The following is a 14,935-nucleotide window of genomic DNA, read 5'->3' as shown; positions in this document are numbered from 1 at the left end:
CAGGAGGCTGAGGTGGGAGGATTGCTTGAGCTCAGGGGAGTGAGGCTGCAGTGAACCATGATCACACCACTGCACTCCAGCCTGGGTGACAGAGCAAGGCCCTGTCTCAAAAGAAATAGTTCAAAAATTTCAAAAATAAGGCAACGAATTAATTAAAAACTGTTTCAGAACAGCCAATGATCTCCCTTTCTTTCCCCTCTGCTCTCTACTTAGAATTAACCAGCCTGGCCCGTTTGCTTTGTTGCTTCCACATTCTTCTCTCTGCTCATATAAATATATGCAGATGTCAACCCTTTGGTAGGTTTCCACTCCATGTTTTACAGAAGTAAGATGATACAGAAATTACCCAACACTGTGTTTTTAAATAAATCATCATTTTATCATGGATACCCCTCCAGGTTAATACATAATAGCTACATAATGTTTATTACTTTAGTATAGATACACCATAATTTATTAAGCCATTCACCTGTTATTGGGCATTGAGGTCATTGCTAGTTATTTTGCCCCTACACATATGGCTTCAAGAAGCATCTTAGTTCATATCACCTGATATACTGGTGTCTTTATTTTTGTATGATAGATTTCCAAGAGTGAGATGGGTATGTACATTTCTCTTTTAAAAGATATTGCCAGAACATTGCAAAAAGGTGCTAGCAATCTGTAGTCTTGAGAAGACATGAAAACTCTCCTTCCCCTAAACCTCTAAGCAGGTGCTTCAAGCTAGATATTTTTCTCATTCTTGAGTATTTACATCTGATTTTTTCTCTACTGTCCTGGCATACATCTTCAAGTGATTTATTAAAGAAGAGTATTCAGGAGGGATTCTTTTAAAAATAACTTCCACACCTGAGGTCTTTTTGTTGCCTTCATACATGAATGACAACATGGCCTATCCTTTAGGTTTTTCTAGATCAGTGTAGTTCAAACTACAGGTCACAACCCACTCAATTTAAAGGATTATGGCTACATTTTAAAAAACATAGAATGGGGGTGGGACATGGTGACTTACACCTATAATCCTAGCACTTTGGGAGGCCAAGGCAGACGGATTGCTTGAGCTTAGGATTTTGAGACCAGCCTGGTTGTCTCTACTAAAAAAAAAAAAAAAAAAAAAAAAAATTGGCCAGGTGTGGTGGTGCATGCCTGTAGTCCCAGCTACTCAGGAGGCTGAGCAGGGAGGATTGCTTGAGTCTGGGAGGTGGAGGCTGCAGTGAGCCATGGTTGTGTCACTGCATTCCAGCCTGAACGACAGAGTAAGACCCTGTCTCAATGAAAAATAAAAAAAAATAAGTTAGTCGAGCATGGTGATGTGCACCTGTAGTCCCAGCTACTTGGGAGGCTAAGGTGGGAGAATCACTTGAGCCCAAGGGTTTGAGGCTGCTGTGAGCTATGATCATGCCACTGCACTCCAGCCTGGGTGACAGAGCAAGACCCTGTCTCAGAAAAACAAGAAAAACAAAGCTCCACACAGTGGCTCACGCCTGTAATCCCAGCACGCCTGGTCTAAAAGTACAATGTATTTCTAATGATGACTTGAGATAAAAAGAAATTGACATTTTCTTCTTTTGCATGCTGTAGTCTTGAGAAGACAGTGATTTATTCAAGAAGACTATTCAGGAGGGATAGCTCACAGCAGCCTCGAACTCTTGGGCTCAAGGGAAGTCTGAGATCATTTTAATTTAAGCTCTCTGTTATTTTTTCCCATTTGTTTGTAAGATCCTTATTTATCACTGCCCCTTCCTGCATTTAAATTTGTTTTAAAAACTTTTTAAAAAAAATATGACCAGGCGCGGTGGCTCATACCTGTAATCCCAGCACTTTGGGAGGCTGAGGCGGGTGGATCACAAGGTCAAGAGATCAAGACCATCCTGGCCAACATGGTGAAATCCTGTCTCTACTAAAAATACAAAAATTAGCGGGGCATGGTGGCGCATGCCTGTAATCCCAGCTACTCAGGAGGCTGAGGCAGGAGAATCGCTTGAACCTGGGAGGCGGAGGTTGCAGTGAGCCGAGATCATGCCAGTGCACTCCAGCCTGGGCAAGAGAGCGAGACTCCGTCTCAAAAAAAAAAAAAAAAAAAAAATCCAAGAGAACTAAAGATAGAAAAGTAAAATCTCTGGCCAACCATGGTGGCTCATGCCTGTAATCCCAGCACTTTACGGGCAGGTCACTTGAGCCAAGAGTCCAAGGCCAGCCTGGGCAACATGGCAAACTCCTTTCTCTACAAAAAAATACAAAAGTTAGCTGTGTGTTGTGGCACATGACTGTAATCCCAGCTACTGGGGAGGCATGAGAATCACTTTAACCTGGGAGGCAGAGGTTGCAGTGAGCCGAGATCGCAACTTTGCACACCAGCCTGGGCAACAGAGCAAGACCCTGTCTCAAAAAAAAAAAAAAGAAAAAGAAAAAGAAAAAGAAGTAAAGTAAAATCTCTCTTCCCTTTCAGTTTCCTATTTCAAGGGTGTGTCTGTGTGTCTGTGTGTATGTTCCGGCAATTTTCTTAACTTTTTTAACTTTGAGAATTCCATCATAGTGTGTCTAAGCGGGGCCCTCTTTTCATTAACTTTGCTGGGAAGTCAGAACATGCTCTCAGTTTCCAGTTGAGTTCTTTCTTTACAGCAGGAAACTTTTCCCCTCCCATTTCTTTGAATACTGCTTTCCCTATGTCTGTTTTGTTCTCTCCAGAATTCCGATTATTCCCAGGTTATATCCCCCGTGTCTGACCGCCTGCCTCTTTCTTTTCGTCTTTTTATCATTTTGCCCTTCGTCATGTTAATTTTATTTTCTCCGTGTCTTGTCTGCTATTTACAGCCTCCATCATGGTTTCCCACCAGAGCTATTGTGGTTTCTGTCTCCTTGCTACACTTCCTGCTCTCAGATGTCTCCCTCTTTATTAGGATCTTTTCTAGTTTCTAGATCTTTTCCAGCACCCCATGGAATCTTATTGAGAATTTGAATTAAATATTCAGATTTTTTTTTAAACTTGTGCTGTAGTAAATTCGCTCCCCCACAGAGAGGCAGCTTCCTCCAAACCTTCAGGGATGTTTATCTTTCAAGCTGCAGAATCTTTCCCCAGATCCTGTGAGCTTTACTTTGCCTGGAAAAGTGCACCCACAGTGCACTTGGGGCGGTCTGAAAACTGCGGGGATACGGAGTGGAAGGAAGCTTGGGGGCGCCCTTGCCTCATCATCCCTCCAGCCACCCTGGCCTCTAGTCCTTGCCCTTGAGTGCAGGGGACTCCCTGGGGTAGCTGGCATCTCCTGTTTTTTTGTTTGTCTGTTTTGAGACAGAGTCTTGCTCTATTGCCCAGGCTGGAGTACAGTGGCGCAATCTCAGCTCATTGCAACCTCCACCTCCCAGGTTCAAGCAATTCTCCCGCCTCAGCCTCTTGAATAGCTGGGATTACAGGCACCCGCCATCATACCTGGCTAATTTTTGTATTTTTGTAGAGACGGAGTTTCACCATATTGGCCAGGCTGGTCTCGAAATCCTGACCTCAGGTGATCCACCTGCCATGGCCTCGCAAAGTGCTGGGATTACAGGCGTGAGCCACAGTGCCCAGCCTTCCTGCTTTGACCTGAACACACAGGGTGACGGCTTGTTTTCTCTCAGTGATGCCTTCCATTTGGCCCCATAGTCACAGTCCGGTTGAAGTTCCTCCAGTTTCCTTGGTGTGGATGGCTAGTTTTCAGTTCTGTTGCAAGTCTTCCCCGTTTTCGGATGGCCATTTCAGGGGTATTTTGTTGGGATAGGAATCAGGGGAGACCAAGGACAATATCCAGAGAGCCATGTCTGTGCCACCTGTCTGCCAGGTGCTCCCAGCCAAGTGTTACATATTCACAATTATCATGTCTACTTGAAACTTTGAAAAGGAGAAAACGTAATTACTTTTTTTTTTTTTTGAGGCAAGGTCTCGCTCCATCGCTCAGGCTGGAGTGCAGTGGCATGATCTCAGTTCACTGCAACCTCCACCTCCTGGGCTCAAACGATCCTCCCACCTCAGCCTCCCAAGTAGCTGGAGTTACAGGCGTGTGCCACCCCGCCTGGCTAATTTTTGTATTTTTTGTAGAGATGGGGCTTTGCCACGTTGGCCACGTTGGAGCTTCCTATTCTTAACGTTCTACATTCCACACTTTTTGGCTTTTTTCCTGGTTACTGTGATACAATATTCTGAGGTCAAAGGCTCTGAAGACAGAAGCTTCTGCATGAAAATAGTATCAGGTGGCAGAGCACAGGCCTGGACAACCTCTGAACCACTCATCAGCTGTTACCAGGCATGCACAATCTCATTTGAGTGCAGCTCAAGGTCCCTTCGCTCCTCCAGGCAGGGCTGACCACACGTGCCCGATTCCCAGTGCATGTGCCCCCTACTTCCCCATCAGCGCACTTACCCATACGTGAGGCACTTGTTCCACTCTTGGTCTGTCCTGATTTTAAAAGGTTCCCCCCTGCTTTGATTTCTGATTGTGAAACACTTCAAGAGTCATCTGCTGTGCTTCTAACATTTTAAAAATTATCATAGAGAGGCTAAAACAACTAAAGCCATTCCCAGTTAATCAAGCCTCCCCGGTGTTTGTGCATCAGAGGAGATAATGCAGGAGAAAGCACTCTGAGAACAGAATGCCCAGGGCCCCGGGGGGCTTTGGAAACCTGGAGGGCTAGATCTGGAAACATTGCCTTTTGAAAAGTGGAAGCAGGCCCAGCGCAGTTGCTCATGCCTATAATCCCAACACTTTGGGAGGCAAAGGTGGGAAGATTGCTTGAAGCCAAGAATTCGAGACCAGTCTGGGTAACATAGCAAGACCTTGTCTCTACCAAAAAAGAAAACAAAATTAGCTGGGCGTGGTGTGCGTACCTACAGTTCCAGCTACTCAGGAGGCTGGGGCAGAAGGATCGCTTCAACCCAGGAGTTTGAGGCTGCAGTGAGCTATGACCATACCACTGCACTCCAGCCTGGGTGACAGAGTGACAGCCTGTCTCTGAAAAAAATAAAAATAAAAAATAAGTGTAAGCAACTGCAGTGGACTCTTGAATTCACCTTGTGCCAAGGCTGATTCATATTCTGGGCAAAGCACCAGGAGGGGAATGAGTTACATGGACGAGAAGCAAGTTCCCCCCATCCTTCCTGGAGAGTACCCTTGAGTCATTGACCATCCAGTGTCATCCTGTGACGAAGTAAGTGGTCTGTTCCCCCATGGTAAGGGGTCATGCTGTGCAGAACCAGACCTCCATACTAATTATTTGCTTCTCAGAATTGCTGGGGCTCTGAGGAAGCCCACATAGGCCTGACTCAGTTTTCACTTTGACTCACTGAAAAGAAACTGGCCTGGATTGGCCAGGGATTAACTTTGACTGGACAGCTGATGCCCTCCACAGAGTGGTCTTCAACCCTGGATGACCATCGCCATGAAGCGTCTTGATGTTGGGGAGTTCTGTCCAGGTTGACTGGGGCTCAGGGCCACATCCCTGTTGATCCTTGAGGAGGGGCAGCAGTTCCACCACCAGGCATTCTGGGAAGAGCTAGGTCCCATCATGAAATATCAGAAACTGGGAGGTGAACCTAAAGCTAGGAGGAAGGAAAGCCTCTCCTCTCTCAGGACTGGGTTGTTGTTTGCCCAGGACTCCAAGTAGAGAGGATATTCAGCTTTCATCACCCAGTGGATTTGAACTGAGCACCTACTATGTGCCAGTTACTATTCTTTTAAAACAATTAATTTTTTTGAGACAAGGTCTCTCTCTGTCACCCAGGCTGGAATACAGTGCAAGAATTATAGCTCACTGCAGTCTCGAACTCCTGGGCTCAAGCGATACTACCTCAACTCTTGTGTAGCCAGGACTACAGGTACATGCCGCTGGCCCAGCTAATTAAAACATTTCTTTGTGGAGACGGAGTTTCACTATTTTGACCACGCTGGCCTTGAACTCCCGGCCTTAAGAGATCCTTCCATCCTAGTCTCCCAAAATGCTGGGATTATATGCCTGAGCCACTGTGCCTGGGCCAAGCACTATTCTAAGCACTGGGATATAGGACAGAACAGTCTACCAAAGAGAGAAGGACATAAGCAGAAATGAATGAGTCAGAGAGACGCAGATAGCGGCAGACGCTGTGAGGATCATAAAGAGGCTGAAGCGATAGAGAAGGGCTCAGTGGCTATTGTAGATGGTGTGCTCAGAGAAGCCCCCCTGTGGCAACAGGAGGACAGAAAGCCATGACCAGGACAGGTTCTGGGGGTGTGCATCCCAGGACAAGCACAGGTCCTGTGGCGCAGTGAGTCCGGTGCATTCTTGGAAGAGAAGGAAGGCTCAAGGGGCTGCAGACGGAGGGGCTGAGGGGGAGCAGTAGGACCTGAGGGAAGAGTGATGGCAAAGGAGAAATCCTATACTTGAGGGCGGCTGCCCTGCCCGTAACAGCTGGCTGGGGTGTTCAAGGAGATGTCAGCAGTCCTGGAGGATGAGCTCAGGTTCATTGAGAAGCTGTCGCATGCGTTTTTCTATCTTCTGTTTTCTTCCTCTAGCCTCAAACTTACAGCAGTCCTTAGTAGTTAGAACCTTGTCTCCTCCTATTGTGGAAGGGTCTGAGCCAGTGCCAGGGAGGAAGAGGGTGGGGCTGTAGGAGGCTGGGATAGGTTGCGACAGAGGGGGCAGTAGGAGGAGAGAGCCAAGTGGGCAGTAGAGGCAGAGGCACAGGGCACAAGGATGACCCAAGGGAACAGGTCAGTAGGGCCCAGTGGGTCCCAGGAGTACTGCGGAAGGCTGGGCTTCCTGGAGTTGAGTGGAATGGGAATTGGAGCCCTCAGACTTGTGCCCATTGGGCAGACCCCAGCTGGTGAGGCCAGGGCGTGCTGATAACAGCAGTATCCCCTATAGCAGGTTTCCCAGCTGAGCCCAACCTGTAGAGCTGATGGACTGGGGACCCCATGGGTTCTGTTTATCTGAAATGATACATAGAGGGGCTTGGGCTCTTATGTGGAAGGAGGAATCATGAGCATTTCTTTTATTCACTTTTTGTTCAATTGGTCTACAAAACTTACTGAGCATCTATTATGTGCTAGGCACTGTTATGGGCATTAAGGATATAATAGTGAATTAAGTGGGCAAAAAACCTCTGAGCTCATGGGCTTGGGAGGCCAAGGCGGGTGGATCACTTGAGCCCAGGAGTTCGAGACCAGCTGGTCAACATGGTGAAACCCCGTCTCTACTAAAAATACAAAAATTAGCTGGGTGTGGTGGCATGCCTGCAGTGTGTGTGTGTGCATGCACACACCAGCAAAGAGGAAAATCCAGGAAGGAGAGAGAGGAAGTGGGAGAGGAGAAGGGAGGGAATGGAGGGGCTATCTCCTGGCCCAGCCTGGGAAACAGGTTGAGGATCCTCATGAAGACAGGTGTCAGGCCAGAAGCTGAAGGATGTGGGGACACTCTGGACACCTCTCTGCCCCTCAAAGTCCAAGTGACAGTGGGTGGTATGGAGCTGCCCAGGGCCCTTGTCCCTCTGTTCCTCTACCTCCAGATCTCTACAGAAAGTTGTTTCACGGCCCAGGGGCTCTGGGTGCCCCCAGCATGGACCAGCTGGCCCACGGCATCAGCAGAGGCCTCGAGTGCTGCATGGTTCCAGAATCCACGGCAGTGCTGGGCCCCTTATGAGGGAGCACGTGGGAAGTGGCTGGCTGTGGAGGAGGCTCGGACAGGGAGGCTTGCTGGGCACAGGGAGGCCAGTGCAGAGATGCTGGGGAGGGCGCGGCTGTGCGCCTGGGGTGCTGCAAAGCACTTTGTGGTTGGGCATCAGTGATAACATGGCCTCGTTTGCACTCACAGGCTATTAAGGCCAGGGCTGGAGGACTGGGAGATGCGGGTGCCCCTTCAAACCAACATTCTTTGAACACTTATTAAGTGGAGATGGAGAGAAACAGATGTTCTGTTAATAAAAACTAAATATATTCCCTTTCATTAAAAATGAGGGATTTATTGCATGCATTTGTTACATCCTCTTTTCTGAACTAGACAGTTTATTGTGAGGATTTTAAACTGTTTAAATATTAGGCAACAAAATAAATCTCTCCTTCTGGTGTGAGCAGCATCCCCTGGTGTGATTTGCTTTTGTAATTTCAGCTGACTGCAGCTGCTGACTTCAGGGAAGCACATCAGAGTCGCCGGCTGCGTTGAAGTTGCTGCCAAGCCCATGGCCGCACTTTGCGATGTATGCGTTTTCTGTGAAAACACTCCACAGAAACCCTTTGGGGCCAGTGAACGGTATTTTAAAATTTCCACTCGAGGGCATCGCCCACTCTGGTGGGATAGGGATCGTTTACATCTCACCCCTTATGTGAGGAAGCCCAGGTGGAAACCTGAGGTCACTGGCAGCACCTTTCTGATTAATCCCAAAGGCTCGCCCCAGGCAGCTGCCACACTGCCCTGCCTTTCTTTTTTTAGAGACGGAGTCTTGCTCTGTCGCCCAAGCCGGAGTGCAGTGGCGCGATCTCGGCTCACTGCAACATCCGTGGCCTGCCTCTTAATGTGGCTCCACCAAGAGACATCTGGATCATACTCAGAAGTAATTAGAGCCCAGGAGTTTGAGGCAGAGTGGGCTGCATTCGTGCCACTGCACTCTAGCTGGGGCAACAGAATGAAACTCCATCTCTAAAAAATGAATAAAAATGAAGACATCCATGTCTGTTATCATTTTCTCTAAATTCAAAATTCAGTATACTTTTGGAGACATTACCTCAGGACTAAATGGAATGTAAAGCCAGTCATTCTAAGTAGAATTTTGGGCCTAACGTGGGAAGACAATCTGGGGGAGGGGGTAATAGTAAATCTGCTAGAAGAAACGTTGCTTCTTAACTGGCTCCACTCATATTATTTAAAAATATGTCCTCCTTCTATATGGTCATGGTGATAATAAAAGTGTCTTCTTATTCTATTCCTTTCCCATTCAAATAAATCATCTCTTAATCTAACAAGAAAAAATAAAAAAATAAAAAAGAAGTAATTAGTACCAATTTAAGCCACAGGTAAGTATAACCCTTACTATTTAAAAGGGCAGGCCTGGCGCGGTGGCTTACATCTGTAATCCCAGAACTTTGGGAGGCTGAGGTGGGTGGATCACTTGAGGTCAGGAGTTCCAGACCAGCCTGGACAACATGGTGAAACCCTTGTCTACTTAAAGTACAAAAATTATCCAGCTGTGGTGGCGAACGCCTGTAGTCCCAGCTACTCCAAAGACTGAGGCAGGAGAATCACTTGAATCCAGGAGATAGAGGTTGCAGTGAGCCCAGATCGCACCACTGTACTCCAGCCTGGGTGACAGAGCGAGACGCTATCTCAAATAAATAAATAAATAAATAAATAATATAAGGGCAGGAAGAGGAAGCCTCGTCATTAGACAATCAACTGCAGTCAGAGCCTCAAGCATGGTATAGAGACCAGCTCAGCAAATCTCCCTCTCTGGTTTCTCGTTGTTCTCTCCTCTCCCCCATACACCCCGTGCCCAACTCCTACCCCAGTCCCCGTGGCCTTTTTTCCATTTGCATCCCTGTTCCAGGCTCTCACCAAACGATTCTTTCTGGTTTTTCTTTCAGTGGAAGTGGAGGTGGTTTGTGTGTTAGGGAGATGGTTTTAGTTCCCCCCACCCACCCATGAGTGAAACATTTACCAAACCATTCATTCTCTTAGTAAAATGTATCATTTCCCGCAGCATAACTTCACTAGATTGCTCTGCGAACAAAGCATCTGTCATTTTTCTTCATCTTATCAGAATACCCTCTTTCAGCCAGGTGCAGTGGCTCCTGCCTGTAATCTCAGCACTTTGGGAGACCAAGGTGGGCGGATCTCCTGAGCCCAGGAGTTCAAGAGCATGGTCAACATAGTGAAACCTCGTTTCTACTAAAAATACAAAAATTAGCCGGGTGTGGTGGTGTGCCTGTAGTCCCAGCTACTTGGTAGGCTGAGGTAGGAGAATCGCTTGAACCTGAGAGGCGGAGGTTGCAGTGAGCCGAGATTGCTCCACTGCAGTCCAGCCTGGGTGACAGAGGGAGACTCTGTCTCAAAAAAAAAAAAAAAAAAAAAAAAAGAATACCTTCTTCCATATCCTAGCTTGGTGTGAGCCTAAGATGGGGGAGGGTAACGGCACCTCCCTGGAGGGTAGGAGAGAAAACCCCAGCCTGCCTCAATGGCGAATGTCCTCGAGGGACACATGTTGCCTCTACAGGTAGTAAGGATCCTGATTTGAAAGTATTCACACAGAAGCCGGTTAATTACCTTTTTGGTGAGAGACTGGACCAATCGACTCTATCTAGAAGTAAGGATCTAGGGAAATTTTTCTTGGTTACTTGTTCCAAAAAAGAATTTGTCATTGTAATGGACATCTGCTGTTTCTGCCTCCAAGAACACTTTATCCCTTCTGTCAAAACTGTCTCTTTATTTCTCTCTGGCCTGGCTGGGATTGGCTTCACTCCAGCCCCTGGGTGGTCTTCATTGATCACATTAACATGTGATACAAATCTTCACACTCTGTGCCCACCCCCGTGGGCCCATCCACGTGTCTTTCCCCAGACTTGCTTTTCCCTAATCTGATGTGTCTCCTTCTAGGTCCCTGAGCAACAAGCCAAGCCACTTGCCACTACCCCTGAGTCCACGGCCATTCCCTCTGCTGGCCATTCTCTGTGCACACAAAGTGGACAATCACACATACCACATGAAGCTCTGCCCCTGTGCTTCGAGGGCCAGCCCTGAGTAGAGCCACAGAGCAGCACAGCCAGTGGTATAACTGTCTTGAAAGTTACACCATTGGCTACCCTGCTTCTCAGGCCTTCAAACACAGTCAGAGTTACAACATGTAACTTCCAGCCCAAGGCCAAAGAACTGAAAACCAGGGAGGCTGCTGGTATCAGTCCTGGAGTGCAAAGGCCCAAGAACCAGGATCTTCAGTGTCCAAGGGCTTTCACCCCCGCTTTCAGTGTCCATTTGTGGCTTTCACCCCCTCTTCCCAGCCAACTCATCCAAGAAGCAAACCTGGTTGGTTTTTGTCCTGCATCAGCTGGTTCTAGGCCCCTGACCCTCTACCCCAAGGTGGCTATAGATGTGATAGAAGGAGGAGGCAGGGATTCAACAGTGGTGGATGGCAGAGGGGCGTGGTCATCTGCTTATGCAGTTCACTTGAGCCTGCTGGTCCTGTTTGTGACCAGTCCTGGAGGTAGTACTGAAACCGTGTAATAATACATATTACACATTTATATATTAAATTATATATCATAATATATATTTTTTTGAGACAGGGTCTCACTCTGTCACCCAAGTTGGAGTGCAGTGGCGTGATCTCAACTCACTGCAACCTCCACCTCCCAGGCTCAAGCAATTCTCCCACCTGAGACTCCCAAGTAGCTGAGACCACAGGCTTGCACCACCATGCCCTGCTGATTTTTTGTATTTTTTGGTAGAGAGGAGGCTTCACCATGTTGCCCAGACTGGTCTTAAACTCCTGAGCTCAGGCAATCCACTGGTCTCGGCCTCCCAAAGTGCTGGGATTACAGGTTTGCACCACCACACCCGGACATGTTTTTTGTTTTTGTTTTTGTTTTTAAGACAGGTCTTACTATGTTGCTCACACTGGTCTCCAGCTTCTGGCCTCAAGCAGTCCTCCCACCTGGACATGCTGGGATTACCGGCACAAGCCACCATACCCAAACTCCCTTTTCTTGAGCTAGAACATCCATCTTCCCTTGCCCTTGGACACTGAAGATCCTGGTTCTTGGGCCTTTGCACTCCAGGACTGATACCAGCAGCCTCCCTGGTTTTCAGTTCTTTGGCCTTGGACTGGAAGTTGCACTATTGTAACTCTGACTGTGTTTGAAGGCCTGAGAAGCAGGGTAGCCAATGGTGTAACTTTCAAGCCAGTTATACCACTGGCTCTCCTAATTCTCCAGCTTGCAGACAGTATTGCAGACTTCTCAGCCTCCCTAATTGCATGAGCCAATTGCCATAGAAGTCTCCTCTTCTATGTCTCTATATAGCCTATCAGTTCTGTTTCTCTGGAGAACCCTGACTAATACAGATGCTGTGTTTCCAAGACCCAGAAGCAACCTGGGAGCTCGTTTTCAACTGACGTGGAGTTCTCCACTGTGGATAGTTCAGCCTTGCTCCAGAACCCTAGGGATATAAGTTGTGATTCTCCCACTGGTGCTTTCTGTAAACTTCACACAGAATCTTTTCCTCCCACAGATATCTGTAGTACCATAGAGTACTTTGAGTCATAGGGTCCAAATGGCAGAGCTGCTTGCACTTGTAGGGAGCAGCAGCTCCCTACACCCTCACCCTCTAAGATTCACTGAAAAATCAACCCACAGTAAGGCAGATTAATAAGAGAAAAGCCTTTACAAATGCATTACTACCGTGCCCCATATCCTAATGGGGTACAGATGCTTGTATACCCTACTTCTTAGGGAAAGGGGGGATGGGGAAGTGTGGGTGATTTTAGGGGGATGGTAAATGATTTTTAGGGGAATTCAATGGGGTTGAAGAATATACAATGGTCTGGGGCGAAGTCCGTTGGGCCCGCAGAGGGGACAATGATTTGTGACAAAAGTCTGTCCCGGTTTGTTAACAGGCTTTAGTCTTACTTCCTGTGATATGGGTTCAGTTAATACAAACTCAGAGAAGGGACTGGAGGTAATTGTTTTCTTCTTTGGTAGATCCAGACTTTAGGCAGATAAGGGAACTTCAGCCTGTGTTTTGAAATAAATAGGGCAGGGTGTCCAATCTTTTGGCTTCCTTGGGCCACATTGGAAGAAGAATTATCTTGGGTCACATATAAAATACACTAACACTAACGGTAGCTGATGAGCTAAAAAAAAATTGCAAAAAGATCTCGTAATTTTTTCTTTTTTTCTGAGACAGAGTCTTGCTCTGTCGCCCAGGCTAGAGTGCTGCGGCATGATCTTGGCTCACCGCAAACTCCGTCTCCCGAGTTCAAGCAATTCTGCTGCCTTAGCCTCCCGAGTAGCTGGGATTACAGGCTCTTGCCACCACGCCAGTCTAATTTTTGTATTTTTAGTAGAGACAGGGTTTCCCATGTTGGCCAGGCTGGTCTTGAACTCCTGACCTCAGGTGATCTGCCCCCCTAGGCCTCCCAAAGTGCTGGGATTACAGGTGTGAGCCAGCGCGTCCGGCCAAGATCTCATAATGTTTTAAGAAAGTTTAAGAATTTGTGTTGGGCCACATTCAAAGCTGTCCTAGGCTGCATGCTGCCTGGGGGCCATGGGTTGGACAAGCTTGAAATAGAGGATTAAGAAAAGAGACCAGCATCTTCTGGGCATTCTGCACAACATTACAAGTCCACTACTATATTGATTACATCATGATAATCCAATCAAACGAGTAAAAAATGGCAAACACGTTAAAGCTCTGGTTAAAACGTGCTCTAGAGGGTGGGAGATAAACCCTACAAAGATTCAGGAAACCATGACGTCAGTGAAGTTCTCAAAGGATTAAGAAATAGGGGGGAGGGGAAGGAAAATAATTGTTCTCCTAGGTGGGTCTGTCTGGTCTTTATGTACACAAGGCAAAAGTGTCTTCTAGCATCTATTGATCTCTAACGGCCTTTAATTTAAATACTCATCATACCAGGGAGCCATATTTTGGGGTGAAGTTCCCTGTGCTCCTTCATATTACAGACTGGACTTGCTACGAAACATTTTCCTCCTCAAGCCCTGCTCAAAGATGGTAGTCTTCCATTTCACTCAGTAATTAGATCGGAACAGGATTCCAAGTGCCACCAGCACCTGAAGAGGCCTAACAGGCCTTGAGCTTCCTTCTTAATAATGGGAGCTATAAGATGAAATAATTTATTTGGGAGGCCGAGGCGGGCGGATCACGAGGTCAGGAGATTGAGACCATCCTGGCTAACATGCTGAAACCCTGTCTCTACTAAAAATACAAAAAATTAGCTGGGCCTGGTGGCAGGCACCTGTTATCCCAGCTACTCGGGAGGCTGAGGCAGGAGAATGGCCTGAACCTGGGAGGCGGAGCTTGCAGTGAGCTGAGATCACACCACTGCACTCCAGCCTGGGCGAGACTCCATCTCAAAAAAAAAAAAAAAAAGAAAGATAAAATAATTTCCTCTTTACTTCCTAGGGAATATCTCCACTGGACTCCTAAGAGAACTTCACTGATGTGATGGTTTCCTGAATCTTTGTAGGGTTTATCTCCCACCTGCCAGAGCACGTTTTAACCAGGGCTTTAACGTGTTTGTCATTTTTTACCCATTTGATTGGATTAACGTGATGTAATCAGTGCAGTTGTGCACTTGTAATGTTGGGCAGAAAGCCCAGAAGATGCTGGTCTCTTTGGACTATATTATAACAGACAGTGGGAGAGTTCGCATGCCTAAGGTCAAGACTGTAAATGTGTACAGTTGGCCTCCATATCGATGGGTTCCGCAGCCATGGATTAAAAATATTAGAAAAAAAACAGTAAAAAAAACACAATACAACAATAAAAAATAATATAAATAAAAAATACAATATAAAAACTAAAAACTACTTACAGGTCGGGTGCGGTGGCTCACACCTATAACCCCAGCACTTTGGAAGGCCGAGGCAAGTGGGTCACCTGAGGTCAGGAGTTTGAGACCAGCCTGGCCAAATTGGCAAAATCCCATCTCTACTAAAAATACAAAAATTAGCTGGGCATGGTGGGCGTGGTGGCACAGGCCTGTAGTCCTGGCTGCTCGGGAGGCTGAGGCAGGAGAATTGCTCGAACCCAGGAGGTGGATGTTGCAGTGAGCTGAGATCACGCCATTGCACTCCAGCCTGCGCAACAGAGCGAGACTCTGTCTCAAAAAAAGAAAAAGAAAAAGAAAAAAAAAATACTTAAGTAGCATTTACATTGTATTAGGTATTATAAGTAATCTAGAGATGATCTAAAGTATATGGGAATATAT

The sequence above is a fragment of the Homo sapiens genome, chromosome 17, assembly GCF_000001405.40.
Source record: "Homo sapiens chromosome 17, GRCh38.p14 Primary Assembly".
NCBI lineage: Eukaryota > Metazoa > Chordata > Mammalia > Primates > Hominidae > Homo > Homo sapiens.
Note: the sequence above shows the minus strand (reverse complement) of the source record.